General features: G+C 41.4%; 1 protein-coding gene across 10 annotated transcripts in view, besides 2 other annotated features; it reads left to right on the top strand.

The window, feature by feature from the left end:
* The window catches only part of HERC2 (HECT and RLD domain containing E3 ubiquitin protein ligase 2), a 211,140-nt gene that overhangs the window by 26,656 nt on the left and 168,004 nt on the right, over nt 1-16,480 (top strand). For 9 of the 10 annotated variants that reach the window (XM_006720727.4, XM_006720726.4, NM_004667.6 and 6 more), the window contains 2 exons: nt 2,502-2,636; nt 15,237-15,456. In XM_006720727.4, coding sequence (XP_006720790.1) covers nt 2,502-2,636; nt 15,237-15,456 — 355 coding nt within the window. Of the gene's footprint in view, nt 1-2,501; nt 2,637-15,236; nt 15,457-16,480 lie in introns of those variants that run through there. The other variant, XM_047433207.1, reaches the window with a different exon arrangement.
* Nucleotides 2,871-3,414: an enhancer, noted in NCBI's record as "OCT4-NANOG hESC enhancer chr15:28537256-28537799 (GRCh37/hg19 assembly coordinates)". NCBI's record gives its function as "activates a minimal SCP1, AML or CMV promoter by ChIP-STARR-seq in primed H9 embryonic stem cells {active_cell/tissue: H9 hESC(primed)}" and the evidence as "EXISTENCE:reporter gene assay evidence [ECO:0000049][PMID:30033119]".
* Nucleotides 13,664-14,165: an enhancer, noted in NCBI's record as "H3K27ac hESC enhancer chr15:28526505-28527006 (GRCh37/hg19 assembly coordinates)". NCBI's record gives its function as "activates a minimal SCP1, AML or CMV promoter by ChIP-STARR-seq in naive H9 embryonic stem cells {active_cell/tissue: H9 hESC(naive)}" and the evidence as "EXISTENCE:reporter gene assay evidence [ECO:0000049][PMID:30033119]".

Here is a 16,480-nt window from a genome sequence, read left to right as displayed (position 1 = left end):
GGGGGCTGAGGCACGAGAATCACTTGAACTTGGGAGAATCACTTGAACCTGGGAGGCAGAGGTTGTGGTGAGTCAAGACTCTGTCTCAAAAGAACAACAAAAGTAAAATACTTTCCCTGTTTTCAGACCATACACAAAGAGGCTGTGGGCTGGGTTTGTCCTGTGGGCTGTGGTTAGTGACCCCCCCACCGCCTCCCCCCCACTCCCCCCCCCCCACACACATGTAGGACAGAGTCTGGCCTTTAGAAGCAGCACCTGTGTTCTCACCTGAGCTGTGTTCCTGGCTGGGTTCTATTCTGTATTCTGTGACCCAAGGTGTCTACCTTGGTAAACTGGAGGCTGTTTTAGTTTGCATTCCCACTGGCAATCTGTAACATTTCTCTTGGTCTGTGTCTTTGTTAGCACTTGGTGTTATCAGTGTTTTTTAGTTGAGCCATTCTAACAAGTCTAGTGGGATCTCATTGTGGTTTTAATTTGCAATTCTGTAATGGCTAACAATGCTGAATATCATGTTCTTTTTTGCCACTCTTGTATCCTCTGTGAGTTTCTGTTCAGATCTTTTGCACAGAAAAAGCTGTATCATGGAACCAGTAAAATAACCAAGGAGAGGTTGATTAAAGTTCTGTTTATAACCCTAGAAGATTCCTGCCCTAGGGATATGGGATGGCTGAACGTAGGACACTGACACTGGACAGATGAAATAGCAGTTTATTAGTCACGCATGCTCACAGCCCTGGGGGTGGGGGACACCGCATGCCACACGGGGGCTGCACTTGGGAACAGAGTGAACCACGAGGGGCTGTGGGAGGCACATTTTGTAGTAAGAACAGGGTGAGGTGACCTTGCTTCCCATGGGAAGATGTGACTGGCTTGTTTGAATAACTCTGGGCCGGCAGGGATGAGCAGGCTGGGGTCGGGTTTCCGCGATAAGGAGGTTGTTTGGCTTTGGGATCTTATCCGTGAGAGCAGAGCTCAGGGGAGACCTTGTGGTTAGGCTATTTGAGGCCTTCTTGATTTTACCAATGTCAAGGCAGCACGTAATATTTAGTCTTAATTTCAGGCCACACGAGAAATTCTTCTGTATCTACTTTCCGTGGCACTTTTCAAAAGGTTTTGTCCTTAGTGTTTAGCAGTTGATTATGATGTGCCTCGTCATGGCTTCCTTTGGATTTATCTTGTGTGGGCTTTGTGCAGATTCTTCAGTCTGCCTGGGTTTATGTCATTTGCTGAACCTAGGAAGTTTTCAGCCATTAGTTCTTTGGATATTTTTTTCAGCATTCACCTTTTCTCTCCTGTTATTAACCTGTGGGGTCTGTGCTAATTCTAGGTAGTTAGTTTCAGAATTGAATTGCACTGTGGGACACACAGCTGGATGTCGCAGAGAACTGGAGAATTACTTGGTGCAAAAGTCCATGCATTTGGTGTCAGAAATGTTGTAAACAGAGGAACTGTTTCCTTCGAGATTTTTAGATAGTCATTATTTGTAATCTGGATGGGATATCGTGTCTTTCACCGATTGAGATACATTTTTCTAATTATGTTGTTAGACATTTAGTCACAGCCTTCTGTGATGGAACGTGTTTACACTTCAAGGTTAAGGTTAGTTCTCTCTTCTCTTCGCTTACTGTGTAAGGAGTTTTATGACAGTTGTTTTTGACTGAAACTTGACATTGTCAGTGGCCTAAAGTGATTTTTCTCAGCTTTTCCTTTGTTTCCCAGTGCTCTTGAATTATGCTATCAGTCACAGTGCCTCTGCATAGCAGTGCTTCCCAGTTGGCAGTGGAGTAGGGCCTTGTAAAGAGTTAAAAGATTTTTGAATCATACTCCTGTTCTACACCCTCCCTTTTCCCATGGATACACAAGCATTGGGACTCACTGGATAAAAGCAATTGGTGTGAAATTGAAGTAGGTAAATATCAAAGACTTAAGTTTCTCAGTTGAGAAATGTACTAGGAAGTAGATGGAATATCACTTTGGAAGACATGCTTTAAATAATTTGTTATATTGGTTTCTTTTTTTTTTTTTTTTTTTGAGACAGAGTCTCGCTCTGTCACCCAGGCTGGAGTGCAGTGGTGTGATCTCAGCTCACTGCAAGCTCTGCCTCCCGGGTTCACGCCATTCTCCTGCCTCAGCCTCCTGAGTAGCTGGGACTACAGGCGCCCGCCACCACGGCTGGCTAATTTTTTGTATTTTTAGTAGAGATGGGGTTTCACCGTGTTAGCCAGGATGGTCTCGATCTCCTGACCTTGTGATCCACCCGCCATGGCTTCCCAAAGTGCTGGGATTACAGGCGTGAGCCACCACGCCTGGCCGATATATTGGTTTCTTTATGAAAATTATACTGGGTCTGTTACAGGTATGATTGATGTATTTTATTTTTACGTTGTCCAACATTCAGTTAATGATGTGTGTTGTAACTTTTCGGGGAGGGACATTTGCAGAGACTAATGGTATGGCATTCTGAAAAGCGGTGACAGATTAAAAAATTTTTAATTCTGCAGATGATAGTGTCGAACCAAGTGGAACAAAGAAAGAAGATCTGAATGACAAAGAGAAAAAAGATGAAGAAGAAACTCCTGCACCTATATATAGGGCCAAGTCAATTCTGGACAGCTGGGTATGGGGCAAGCAACCAGGTAATCTTGTGAATTTTGGCACTTTGGAAAGGTTGATCTGACGCTCCCTTTCTAAATAACTTGGATGGATTCTTAGTATTTTTTTGGTAACAATTTTAAAAAAAGTAAATAAAAAATTTAAATATTGTGGTAAAATATACATACCATAAAACTTACCGTTTTAACCATTTTTATGTGTAGAGTTCATTGGCATGAAGTATATTCACATTGTTGCCCAGCCATCACGCTTGACTAATTAGAGACAGAATCTCACTGTGTTGCCCAGGCTGGTCTTATACTCCTGGCTTCAAGGGATCTCCCTGCCTCACACTCCTGAGTTGCTGAGATTTCAGGTGTGAGCCATCGCACCTGGCACTACGTGTAACTGTTTGAGGAAGCAGTAAACTGTTTTCCACAGTGGCTACATTGTTTTATATTCTTGCAGCGGTATACTAAGGTTCCCATTTCTCCACACCCTCACCAACACTTTTTGTTTTCTGATGATAGCCATCCTAATTTGTGTGAGTAGGTACAGCATCTCATTGTTTTGATTTGCATTTCCCTGTTGAGTAGTCATGCTGAGCATCTTTTTACATGCTTATTGACCATTTGTATACATTCACTGGAGAAATGTCTATTCAAATACTTTGCCTGGTTTTTTTTTTTTTTTTTTTTTTTGGAGATGGAGTTTGGCTCTTGTTGCCCAGGCTGGAGTGCAGTGGTGCAATCTTGGCTCATTGCAATCTCCACCTCCCAGGTTCAAGTGATTCTCCTGCCTCATCCTCCCGAGTAGCTGGGATTACAGGTGTCCGCCACCATGCCTGGCTAATTTTTTGTATTTTTAGTAGAGACGAAGTTTCACTATGTTAGCCAGGCTGGTCTTGAACTCCTGACCTCAGGTGATCCACCCACCTTGGCCTCCTAAAGTGCTAGTATTACAGGCATGAGCCACTGCACCTGGCCCTTTTGCCTCTTTTTTTTTTTTTTTTTTTTTTTTTTCCTTTGAGACGGAGTCTTGTTCTGTCGCCCAGGCTGGAGTACAGTGGCGTGATCTTGGCTCACTGCAACCTCCGCTTCCCGGGTTCATGCCATTCTCCTGCCTCAGCCTTCCGAGTAGCTGGGACTACAGGCGTGCACCACCACACCCGGCTAATTCCATTTTTTAATTGAGGTTTTTGTTTTGGGTTATAGGAGTTCTTTATCATGGATGGACTTTCATAATCTCTTCCCTTTATCCAGCCCAGTAAAACCCATACATTTATTCTTTGCTTACTTTTTTTTGTGTAATTCAATTTTTTAAATGTCTAATGCATTTTCATTCCAATTAAAAATATACATAGAATATTTCTTATAAAAATGTATAGATTATAAAAGCAGAAATTTCACCTGACTGCCCACCCCAGTTTCAGCTTTCCTCTAAGAGTTAGCCACTATTATCCCTTCGGTGTGGATATTCAGGGTTTTTTTTCCTTGCATGGACATACATATGTAAATGTACATATATAAAAATAATTTGTGACGCCTGCCATGGTATCTCACGCCTGTAATCCCAGCACTTTGGGATGCTGAGGTGAGAGAATTGCTTGAGGCCAGCAGTTTGCGGCTGCAGTGATCTATGATTGTGCCTCTACACTCCAGCCTGGGTGACAGGGTCTCTGTTTCTTAAAAAAAAATTCGTATTTGGGGTTAATAGTAGTACCTACCTCGTAGGTTATTATAGGATCAGCACAGTAGGCCAGACAAAGTGCGTATGCTATTATCTTGCATGTAGTAAGTACCAGCATGTACTACCTGTTATCCAGAAATGTGCTGAAATGTGCCTTGTATTTTCTCTCTTTCCGTTTGGATCAGTCTTCCCAGAAGTTATCAATTTGAGTTTTTTCAAAGAACCAGTTGTTGGTTTTATTGATTTTGTTTTCTTTTTCATTGATTTCTGCTTTACTCTTTATTATTTCCTTTTTTCTGCTGGCTTTGGGTTCCATTTGCTCTTCTGTCTTTCCTAGTTTCTTAAGGCAAAGGCTTAGATCATTGACTTTAGATTTTTTGTCTTTTCTAACAAGTGTTCAAAACTATAATATAAATTTCCCTCTAAGCATTGTTTAGCCACATTTCACAAATTTGGAAATGTTTATTCATTTTCATCTTCATTCAGTTGAAAATATTTTCTAATTTCCCTTTTAATTTCTTCTTTTACCCGCTTATTATTTGGAAATTGTTATTTCATTTCCAAGTATTTGGGGATTTTCAAATATCTCCTGTTAATTTCTAAATTAGTTGTAGTCAGAGAACATATTCTGTGATTTCAATGTTGAGGCTTGTCTGAAGCCCCAGAATATGGTGTATTCTGTGGAATGTTTCATGCACACATAATAAGAATGTAGCTGTGTGTGGTGGCTCATGCCTGTAATCCCAACACTTTGGGAGGCTGAGGTGGGTGGATTACTTGAGGTCAGGAGTTTGAGACCAGCCTGGCCAACATGGTGAAACCCTGTCTCTATGAAACATACAAAAATTAGCTGGGTGTGGTGGTGGGTGCCTGTAATCTTGATTGCACCCCTGCACTTTAGTCTGGGTGACAAAGCGAGACTACATCTCAAAAAAAAAAAGTGTGTTTTGCTGCTCTGTAAAGCTTAATGAGATCAAGTTGATAGTGTTCAGGTATCCTTGACTTGAAATAATTTTCTGCCTACTTGTTCTATTCACTGTTAGGAGAGGAGTTGAACTAACACACAAGGTTGGCTTACTGCATTAGTTTGACATGAATCTCAGAGATCTTACCCGTACCTGATTATTTAGTAACTTTAAAGATACAAGTTATATCCTCACTTGTGTGCTCAGGCAAAGTGGGGAGAGATGTGGGAGAGTCTGTGCAACTCCTGCAGGTCCGTCCTCTTTGAACCCCGCCTGAGAGATGAGACCTCTCACTGAGGTGTGTTGTCCTCTCACTGAGGTGTGTGGTCCTCTCACTTAGGTGTGTAATCCTCTCACTGAGGTGTGTAGTCCTCTCACTGAGGTGTGTCTTCCTCTCAGATGTGTCGTCCTTTCACTGCGGCGTGTCATCCTCTCACTGAGGTGTGTCGTCCTCTCACTGCACAAGGAGCATTAAGGATGTGCAGTGTTTCCCTTTTGTAGTCAGATAGTTTATACACCTTAGGGAACGTTTTCCAGGGAGCCATGTCCCGTAAGTCCATGGATTTTAGGTATGTTTACCAAACACAATCCTAAACTAACCACATCTTGCTAAAAACATTTCATAGATAAGGACACTTCTCTTAGCGAATACCAGTCATTTATTTATAGAGAAGCCAGTCTCAGCGTTCTGGGGAGATCAGCTCCAGCGACTGGCTTTATTTCCCAGGAGTATCTCCATCGTGCTGGGGAGGCATGAAGAGCAGTTTCACTGCTTAGTTCCTCTTTCTTCTGAGGAGGATTGAAATCTCTCATGCTAATTATGGATTATTTTCTCTCAGCTCTGCAGGTTTTGCTTCATGTATTTGAGAATGTTATAAGGTGCATGCACTTTTAGGATTTTTACATCATATTTGTAAATTTGACCCCCTTTATCTCCAGTGACATTCTTTGTTGTGAAGTCACCTTGGTCTGACTACTCTCCTTTCTTCTGATTTGGTGTTTGCGTGGTGTGTTTGCCAAGTTTAGCTTTTTTCACTTTCAACCTTTGTGTATGTGTAAAGTGCATTTCTTTCAGGTATCATATAATTAGGTCTTGCTTCTTTATTCACCCTGGCAACCTCTGTTTTTTATTTGGAATCTTTAGACTACTTGGGTTTAAATCTATCATCTCTGGCGTTTTCAGTTACATCTTTCACTTGTCACTGTCCACTCTCAAATGGTATTACACTGCCTGAGCTGCGGGGCAGTGCTCTGACTGTAGCTTCCTGCTTCTGACATGTTCTTGGTTGGCAGTGTTGCTGTGTCATGTCCAAGTGAAACATGGTATAAACCCCACAATATGATGTTTTTGTTTTTGCTTTAAATAGGCAATTACATTTTTTCCCCTCAAATTTGAAAAGAGAAAAAAAAGTCTTTTTTTTTTTTTTTTGAGATGGAGTTTTGCTGTTGTTGCCCAGACTGGAGTGTAATGGCACAATCTCAGCTCACTGCAACCTCCCCCACGTGGGTTCAAGCGAGTCTCCTGCCTCAGCCTCCCTAGTAGCTGGGATTACAGGCAGGCACCACCGTGCCTGGCTAATGTTTTTGTATTTTTAGTAGAGACAGGGTTTCACTGTGTTTGCCAGGCTCGCCTTGAACTCCTGACCTTAGGTGATCCACGTGCCTCAGCCACCCTTAAGTGCTGGGATTATAGGATTATAGGTGTGAGCCACCACACCTGGCCTCTTTTTTTTTTTTTTTTTGAGTCGGAGTTTTGGTCTTGTTGCCCAGGCTGCCAGGATGGAGTGCAATGGCATGATCTTGGCTCACTGCAGCCTCTGCCTCCCTCCTGGGTTCAAACGATTCTGGCTCAGCCTCCCGAGTAGCTGGGATTACAGGCATACGCCACCACACCTGGCTAATTTTGTATTTTTGAGTAGAGACATGGTTTCGTCATGTTGGTCAGGCTGGTTTCGAACTCCTGACCTCAGGTGATCCACCCACCTCGGCCTCCCAAAGAGCCACCATGGCTGGCCAGAAAAAAGTTTTTTATGTTAACTTACATTTTACCATTATGGGCCCTTAAGGTTTTGTTTCTGTCCCAGCTGCCTTGTGTTATCGTTTTCCTTCAGTTTGAAGATCTCCCTTTACCGTTTCTAGATCTTCTGACAGAGAAGTTTTTCAGTCTGTCTGGGTATCAATTTTGGCTTTATCTCTGACTCTACACAAATCACTTTGTCTCACCTTGGGCCTCTCATGTATAAAGTAGGAATAAGTGGCTGGGAGCAGTGGCTCACGCCTAATCCCAGCACTTTGGGAGGCTGAGGTGGGTGGATCATGATGTCAGGAGATCGAGACCATGCTGGCTAACACGGTGAAACAGCGTCTCTACTAAAGATACAAAAAAATTAGCTGGGCGTGGTGGTGGGCACCTGTAGTCCCAGCTACTCGGGAAGCTCAGGCAGGAGAATGGCGTGAACCCAGGAGGCGGAGCTTGCAGTAAGCCAAGATTGCACCACCACTCTAGCCTGGGTGACAGGGTGAGACTCCATCTCAAACCAAAAAAAAAAAAAAAAAAAGAGGAATAAGTATAATATAATGTAAATAATTAAAATTATATATAAAATAAGTGAAAGTACTTAGAGAGTTGCTGTGCAACTGACATGAAGTAATGCATTTGAAGCTCCTAAGTCAGTGCCTGGCACAAATGTTTGATAAAGATTTGTTGTGATTTTAAAAATCTGTTGTTTTGCCTTTCTCCTTGTTTCCCCTCACCTAGGTATCAAAGTACCTACAGTTATGGGTAGGTAACTAGACCCGAAATACACCTTTCTTGCTCAGATTAAAGCCCAGCTTATTGACTCAGGGTGGCTTTAATGAAGAGGGTTTACTTGGAAGCTCTGCTTGCTCACAGGTACAGAGCTTTCGCAGAACCGACTCTCTACCTGGCAGCCTTGAAGGGGCTTGGATTCAAAGCATATTCTTGAGCCACTCCATCTTTAATCAAACTGCAGGTGGAATTTGTAGCTATTAGAATAGCTCCTATTCCTTTCATTTCTTTTTCTGTTTTTTTGCTCTTCCATCTCAGCCTAAAAAGAAAAACACATTAATTTGAGCCATAGGAATTTAGAATTTGTTTTTTCTTTTGCTTAGATATGTTTGACTAAAGCTTCCTTTTTCACAGGTTTATTTTTTTCCAACGTTTTATTATGAAAAAAATTATACAGAAAAGTTGAAAGAATTTTACAGCGCGCACGCACATATTCACCACCTGAGACTGTGCCGCTGGCATTATCCCACGTGCTTTATCACCGCTCTCTCCACTTTTTTGTCCCTCTATTCATCCATCAGTCCCTCACATTTTTTTTGCAATGTTTCCAAGGAGACCTCTGGACACTTGCTTCTCAACATTGCAGCGTGTAGGCCCTCAGCAGGAGTTCAGAAGTGCACATTTCACAGTGAACCTTCTGAGAGTGTTGACAGATCACAGCTTTTCTTTTTGTCTAATGAAAAGGGCTTGCTGGCCATTGGGTGTTGTAATCTTTTAGGGGAGTAAACTCTTAGTAACTATCTAAATCATTCTTAATGATTCTCTCTGCCGTGTAAATAGGTCTGGGAGGACCCTTTCTGACATTGTTTTTGGCATAGGTTTTAGCTTAAGGTGTTGTAAATGCTGTTTATCAAGATGATGAAGTTCCCGTTTGTTGCTATTTTCTGAGAATTTTTATCATTCATGAGTATTGAATTTTGTCATTTGCTTTTTCTAAATCAATTGATATGTAATTATGTGATTTTTGTTCTTTAGCCTATTAATAGGGTGGGTTACATTGATTTTTGACTGTTGAACCCACTTTACATTCCTGGAATGAAACTACTTGGCAATGATGTGGAATTCTTTTTATATATTGTTTAATTCTACTTGCTAATAATTCGCTGTATATTTTTGTGTCTCTGTATATATATTGTTCTGTACTTTGTACTGTCTTTAGGTACAGTACCTAATATTAGCTTCTTAAAATGTTAATATTAGCTTCTAATATTAGCTTCTTAATATTAGCTTCTATTAGCTTCTAATATTAGCTTCTTAATATTAGCTTCTAATATTAGCTTCTTAATAGTAGCTTCTTAAAATGAATTGGGAAGTTTTTCCTCTTCTAGTTTCCAGAAGAGATTGTTTTGAGTCCGTGTTAATTCTTTTTTAATGTTTGATGGAATTATCCAGTGAGTTCATTTGGGTCTGGTAATTTCTTTTTTTTCGGATTCTTTGAATTATGAATTCAGTTTTCTTGATAGTGGTAGGGCTATTCAAATGATCTATTTTATATTTGGTGAGTTGTGGTAATTTGTATTATTTGAGGAATAAGTCCATTTTGCCCAAGTTGTCAAAGTTACATGTGTAGAGTTGTTCCTAGTAATTCCTAATTATCTTTTTTGGTATCTTTAGAGTCCGTTTCATCACTAATGTTGGTAATTTATGTCTTTTTTTTTTTTTTTTGTCAGTCATGCTTAGAGAGGTTTGTCAGTTTTATTGATCTTATCAAAGAACCAGCTTTTTGCTTTACTGTTTATTGGTTTTCTGTTTTCACTTTGTTTCTACTCTTTCCTTAATTATTTCTTCTTTTCTGCTTACTTTTGGGTTGATTTTGCTATTTTTTTTTTCTTTTAGGTTGTCGAGGCGGGCACTTATATTATTGATTTGTTTCCAAGTTTCTAATATATCATTTATTTAGTGCTGTAAATTTCTCATCACCCACTGTAGCTCTTTCCCATGCATTTTGATGTATTGTACTTGCATTTTCTCTCAGTTCAGAATATATTTTAAAATTTCCCTTGAGACTTCCTCTTTGATCCATGGATTATTTAGAAGTTTATTGTTTAGTTTCTGAGAGTTAGGCAATTTTCCTGTAATTGTTCTCTTGTTGACTTCTAATTTGTTTCCATTGTTTGAGGGAACATATGCTGTGTGATTTTAATTTCAAAAAATTTGTTAGGTTTGTTTTATGCCTCAGAATATGTTCTAACTTAGTATTTGTTTTGTGGATGCTTGAACAGATTATGTATTCTGCTGTTATTGGCTGGAGTGTTCTGTAAATTTTGATTGGATCCAGTTGATTGATGGTGATGTTGAATTCTATATCTTGGCAGCTTTTCTGTCTTCTAATTTTATCAGCTGTAGAGAGAGACTTTGAGGTCTCCAACTATAAAAGTATAAATGTCTTTTTCTCCTTTCAGTTCTATTCATTGTTTCTTTGTTTGTTTGGTGTATGCACGTTTTGAATTGCTGCGTCTTAATGGTGGATTGACCAAGTTCTCATTTTGTAATGTTGCCATCTGTTCCTGGTAATTATCTTTTTTTTTTTTTTTTTTTTTTTTTTTTTTCCGAGACGGAGTTTCGCTCCTTTTGCCCAGGCAGGAGTGAAGTGGCACGATCTCAGCTCACTGCAACCTCCAACCCCACCGGGTTCAAGTGATTCTCCTGCCTCAGCCTCCTGAGTAGCTGGGATTATAGGCATCTGCCATCACACCTAGCTACTTTTTGTATTTTTAGTAGAGATGGGGTTTTGCCATGTTGGCCAGGCTGGTCTCAGACTCCTGAGATCCACCCACCTTGGCCTCCCAAAGTGCTAGGATTACAGGCGTGAGCCACTGTGCCCGGCCTTCCTGGTAATTATCTTTGCTCTGAAGTTTACTTTATTTGATATAAATGTAGCCAACTTCTGCTGTCCTTTCAGTAATGTTTGCATGATCTTTTTTTTTTTCTATACTTCTATTTTCAGTTTGCCTGTTTGAAGTCACTTTCTTATGGACAACATATAGTTGGATCATGTTCTCTAGTCTGCTCTCCTGGTGTCTTTTAATTGATGCATTTAGACTGTTTACATTTAATTTAATGTCATTATTAGTAAACTGAGGCTTAACACTGCCATTTTGTTTTGTATTTTCTATTTCTTCTGTTTTTCATTTTTTCGGTTTGGTTCTTCCTGGCTCTCTGTGGTTTACTTGACCATTTTTAGCATTCTATTTTATCTGTAGTGTTTTAGAGTGTATCTTTTTGTATAGCTTCTTTAGTGGCTTTTCTAGGTAATATGTTACATACAGATTGAGCATCTCTAAACCCAAAATCCAAAATCTGAAATGCCCCAAAATTTGAAACTTTTTGGCACTCCAGCATGATGCCCCCAAATTGAAAATTCCATTCATAAGTACTTAGCACGAACTTTGTTTCATGCACAAAATTATTAAGCATGCTGTATAAAATTACCTTCAGGCTCTGTGTATAAGTTATATATAAAACATAAATGAATGTATTTAGACTTGGGTCCTATCCCCAAAATATCTCATTATTTATATGCAGATATTCCTAAATCTGATACAAATCTGAAATTTGGAACACTTGTGCTCCTGAGCATTTTATAAGGGACACTCAACCTGTGTATATATGAACACTTATCAGATTGTACCTGGTGTTGTCATTTACCAGCTTCAGGGATATAGAAACTACCTCCCTTGACGTTCCTTTATGTTCTCCTGTTCATAACATACTTGCCTTAAATATTTCATTTACTTACATTGATAACCACATATGACAATGTTATAATTTTTGGTTGAACCTTCAGACGTAATTTAGCAAAGTCAAGAGGTGAGGGAAAAGTCTATTGTATTTATGCGTTGGTGTGCTTGTCATCTCCTCCTTCCAGAAGTTCCAGGGTTTTCTTTGATGGTTGCCATTCTGCTTAGAGAACTTCCATTAGCCTTTCTTTTGGTGTGGGTCTTCTGGTGACAAATTCTGTTTCACTTCCTCTGAGAATGTTTTGCTTTCCTTTTCATTCCTGAAGGACATTTTTGCTGGATATAAGAATTCTGGGTTAATGGTTCTTTTCATTGTTTAAAAAATATTTTGTACTTTCAGCTGGGCTCCATGGTTTCTGATGAGAAATTCGCTGTCATTTGACTTGTTAATGCACGATAGTTAAGGCAGTTTTTGTTTAGTGGCTTTTGAAATGTTTTGTCTTTTGTTTTTTGGAGTTTGATTATTGTATGTCTTAGTTTGGATTTCTTTGGGTTCATCCTGTTTAGGGTTTGCTTACCTAAGATCTGTAGATTTATGTCTCTTGCCAAATTTGGGAACTTTTAAGCCATCACTTCGTAGAGTACAGTTTCAACCCCACCTTCTTTCTCCTGTCCCTTCGTGAGTTCAGTGACTGGAGTTGTTATAGTCCCATAGGTCCCCAAGACTGGTTTTTTTTTTTTTTTTTTTTTTTTTTTGCTGGGACATTTCTTTCTCTCTTCCCTTCCCATCCCGTCCCATCCAGTCCCGTCCCGTCCCATCCCTTCCTGTCCCTTCCCATCCCTTCCCGTCCCTTCCCATCTTCGGAGTCTCTCCCTGTTTCCCAGGCTGGAGTGCAGTGGACGTTCTCGGCTCACTGCAACCGCCGCCTCCCTAGTTCGAATGATTCTTCTGTCTCAGCCTCTCGAGTAGCTGGGATTATAGGTGCCCGCCACCATGCCCAGCTCAGTTTTGTATTTTTAATAGAGATGAGGTTTCACCATGTTGGCCAGGCTGGTCTCAAACTCCTGACCTTGTGATCCGCCTGCCTCGGCCTCCGAAAGTGCTGGGATTACAGCTGTGAGCCACCGTGCCCTGCCTTGGGGGCATGTATTTCTTCTGTGTTATTCACATTGGATAACTTCTATCTTCTATGTCACTGATTCTTTGCCCTTTTTCCTCCATTCTACTGCTGTGTCCATTCACTGAGCTTTTTATTTTGGTTATTGTATTTTTCAGTTCTAAACTTTCTATTTGGTTTCTTTTTTTTGTCTTCCTTTTCTTGTCTTAGGCTTTCTATTTTTTCATTTATTTCACATGTGTTTGTAATTGCTTGTTGAAGCCTTTTTATCGTGACCGTTTTTAATTATTTGCCACATTATTCCAACATCTTTCATCGTGGTATTTCTATAACTGTTTAAAATTTGGTTTTAGATCTTCCTGGTTCTTGGTATCATGAGTGACTTTCTCAATAGAACATGTTGTTAGGCGACTCTAGGTCTTACTTAAATCTTCTGTGTAAGTGGTTAAATCTTTCTGTGACCCTGCTCTGGCAGGGATAGGGCGTGCTTCACCTCATCGCTGGCAGCTGGAGACGAAGTCCAGGCTTCCCACTTTGCCTAGAGGCCCCTGGTTACTGTGAGGCAGGGGTAGGAGTTCTGACTCCCCAGTGGTGTCCATGGTTTGTGTATTTTCTCACCCACTGTTTCAGAGTGTACATGACTGATGGACTGGGCAGTCAGGATTGCGACGGAATAAGCAGGAGGGTGTCAGGGAGAAGGGCACGTGGGTGCTCAAGGGCAGAGCTGCCCTCTTGGAGCTTTGGGGTTGTTTCTGGGCTCTGCAGCCAAGCAGAAGGGAGATGTATTATTTAAAAGCGGCAAATGCAGTGACTCTTCAGGAAGGGCTTAGCCCTTGAAGTGCTGGGCCAGCTCCTTGCCTGAAGGGTGGCTCGGTGGGGATGCCCTGAGAAGGGCAGGGGCACTGCTTTACCTTTCAGTCTTTCACTTCTCCATCTTGAGCCCAGTGTGCAATTCAGTATTCTTCATGTCGTTTTAAATAACTATTAGCTCTTAGCTGCAAAGCTCCAGGTCTCACATCCTACTGCTGGTGCTGGGCACAGTGTGCGCCACCCTGTGCCTTTCCAGGGAGTGGTGAGATGTTTCTCTCTACTGCCTTCTAAGGCCCTCCTGTCCCGTGGAGAGCATATCCAGGTAGTGGGTAGCCAGAAAACTGATGTCTTCTGCACAAGGGGAGGCAGCCAGTAGGGGTGTTGCTATTACCTGTGAGGATCCAGGGCTGCGAGGCTGGTGGCTGCTGGCCTCCAGGCTAGTAAGCAGCAGAGAGGCAAGCACAAAAGAGACCAGCTCTCACCTCGCCACTGGGAGCTGTGCTGTTAGAGGGGATTGGTGGGAGGTAACTTACAATTCCCTTATAATGATCTGTGCTCTGAGGCAGACACATGCTTAATTGAAAGACCAGAATCCTTTGAATTATTTTCAGTCCTGTGATTGCCTTCTAGCTACTTACAAAACACTTGTTAGTATGGAAATTTTCAAAGATACATAGAAGAAGAGAGAATAATATAATGAAATATCACTTACTCACTAGTTAGAATGTGTATTCTAACTTGTTACTTTATCTTCCTCTAAAATATGTCCATAAATGTGCTTCATGAGTCATGCATGCTGGGTAATTTTATCAAGACATCGTTTTTATATTGAATTTGGTTTTGTAACATGAAAATAATGGCTAGTGTTTTTCTCTGTTTAGGAGATGTGCTGCTGATAAATATTGACTAATATTGACTTCAAAGTTCTGTGTTAGTAACTTTTTTTTTTGGGAGACAGAGTCTCACTCTGTCACCCAGGCTGGAGTGCAGTGACAAAATCTCAGCTCACTGCAACCTCCTCCTCCTGGGTTCAGGCAATTCTCGTGCCTCAGCCTCCTGAGTAGCTGGAATTCCAGGCGTGCGTCACCACACTCGGCTAATTTTTGTATTTTTTTTTTAGTAGAGAAGGGGTTTCACCATGTTGGCCAGGCTGGTCTCGAACTCCTGACCTCAAGTGATCCACCTGCCTTGGCCTCCCAAAGTGCTGGGATTCCAGGTGTGAGCCACTGTGCCCGGCCAACTTCTTTTGTATGATGTTTCCATAGAGAGAGGCAGTGTGCCATGGTGGCTCAAGAGTCTCTGTCATGTGCCGCACTCCTCTGTGTGGCCTCGGACAAGTTGCTTAACCACTTGGTGCCTCAGTTTCTTCATCCATAAAATGGATGGACAGCACTGCTTGACAGTGCTGGGTGTGAGGGTTGCCTGAGCTCATGTGTGTAAAGTGGTTAAAACCATTATTGCCACATATCATGCCTTCGAGTACTACCTGTCGTCATCATCCATTTTCTCAACATTGCAACAAACTGTGGCCACATTGTCCACAGGTGAGATGTTTTCTTGTCTTATTTTCTAGATGTGAATGAACTGAAGGAGTGTCTTTCTGTGCTGGTTAAAGAGCAGCAGGCCCTGGCCGTCCAGTCAGCCACCACCACCCTCTCAGCCCTGCGACTCAAGCAGAGGCTGGTGATCTTGGAGCGCTATTTCATTGCCTTGAATAGAACCGTTTTTCAGGAGAATGTCAAAGTTAAGTGGAAAAGCAGCGGTATTTCTCTGCCTCCTGTGGACAAAAAAAGGTAACAATAAAGCGAAGAAAGAATCCTGATGCCAGTTAAATATAAAATTCAGACTGTTTTGTTTCAGAAAGTTTAAGGTTTTCAATATAGGCTGTCTTCACCTTCTGAAATTTATTCTTGCTTTCCCTTTTTGTATGTTTTGTATAATCTGGAGAATGGATTTGCCAATTTGCTCATGTAGTAATAGACCATGCTGTGTAATCTGTGCCATTATTTTATTTTATTCAATAAAATTTTTCTTTTCTTTTTTTTGGAGAGACAATGTCTTGCTCTGTCACCCAGGCTGGGGTGCAGTGGTGTAATCATAGCTCATTGTAACCTTGAACTCCAGGGCTCTAGTGATCCTCCCGCCTCAGCCACCTGAGTAGCTGGGACTACAGGCACATGCCACCATGCCTGGCTAAATAAAAACAATTTGTGTGTGTGTGTGTGTGTGTGTGTGTGTGTGTGTGGAGATGGGGTCTTGCTCCTGGCCTCAAGTAATCTTCCTGCTTCAGCCTCTCAGAGTACTGGGATTACAGGCATGAGACACTGCGCCTGGCTCTGTGTCATTATTGTAAAGACATTTTTCTGTCAGTAACTGTGGAAGCCAGCCACAGCTTTAGATCAGCTCAAGTATAAATTGGAAAATGAGTTCTGAACGTTGTATACGTTTTATTTTGTTTTGCTGCTGGGTAGGAGATAGATTGTAATGTTTAATGCCCAACTAGTTTAGATGCTTCATGTTTTTCCTTCCTAATGTGATTTTCTTATTCTTTTATTACAAGAGTTGCTTTTGGGCTGGGTGTGGTGGCTCACGCCTGTAATCCCAGCACTTTGGGAGGCCTGAGGTGGGCGGATCACCTCAGGTCGGGAGTTGGAGATCTGACCAACATGGAGAAACCCCATCTCTACTAAAAATAAAAAAATTAGCCGGGGCTTGGTGGCTCATGCCTGTAATCCCAGCTACTTGGGAGACTGAGGCAGGAGAATTGCTTGATCCCGGGAGGTGGAGGTTGCGGTGAGCGGAGATTGTGCCAGCCTG

Source organism: Homo sapiens, chromosome 15, assembly GCF_000001405.40.
Source record: "Homo sapiens chromosome 15, GRCh38.p14 Primary Assembly".
Taxonomy (NCBI): Eukaryota; Metazoa; Chordata; class Mammalia; order Primates; family Hominidae; genus Homo; species Homo sapiens.
This window is presented reverse-complemented; position numbering and strand designations above follow the sequence as displayed.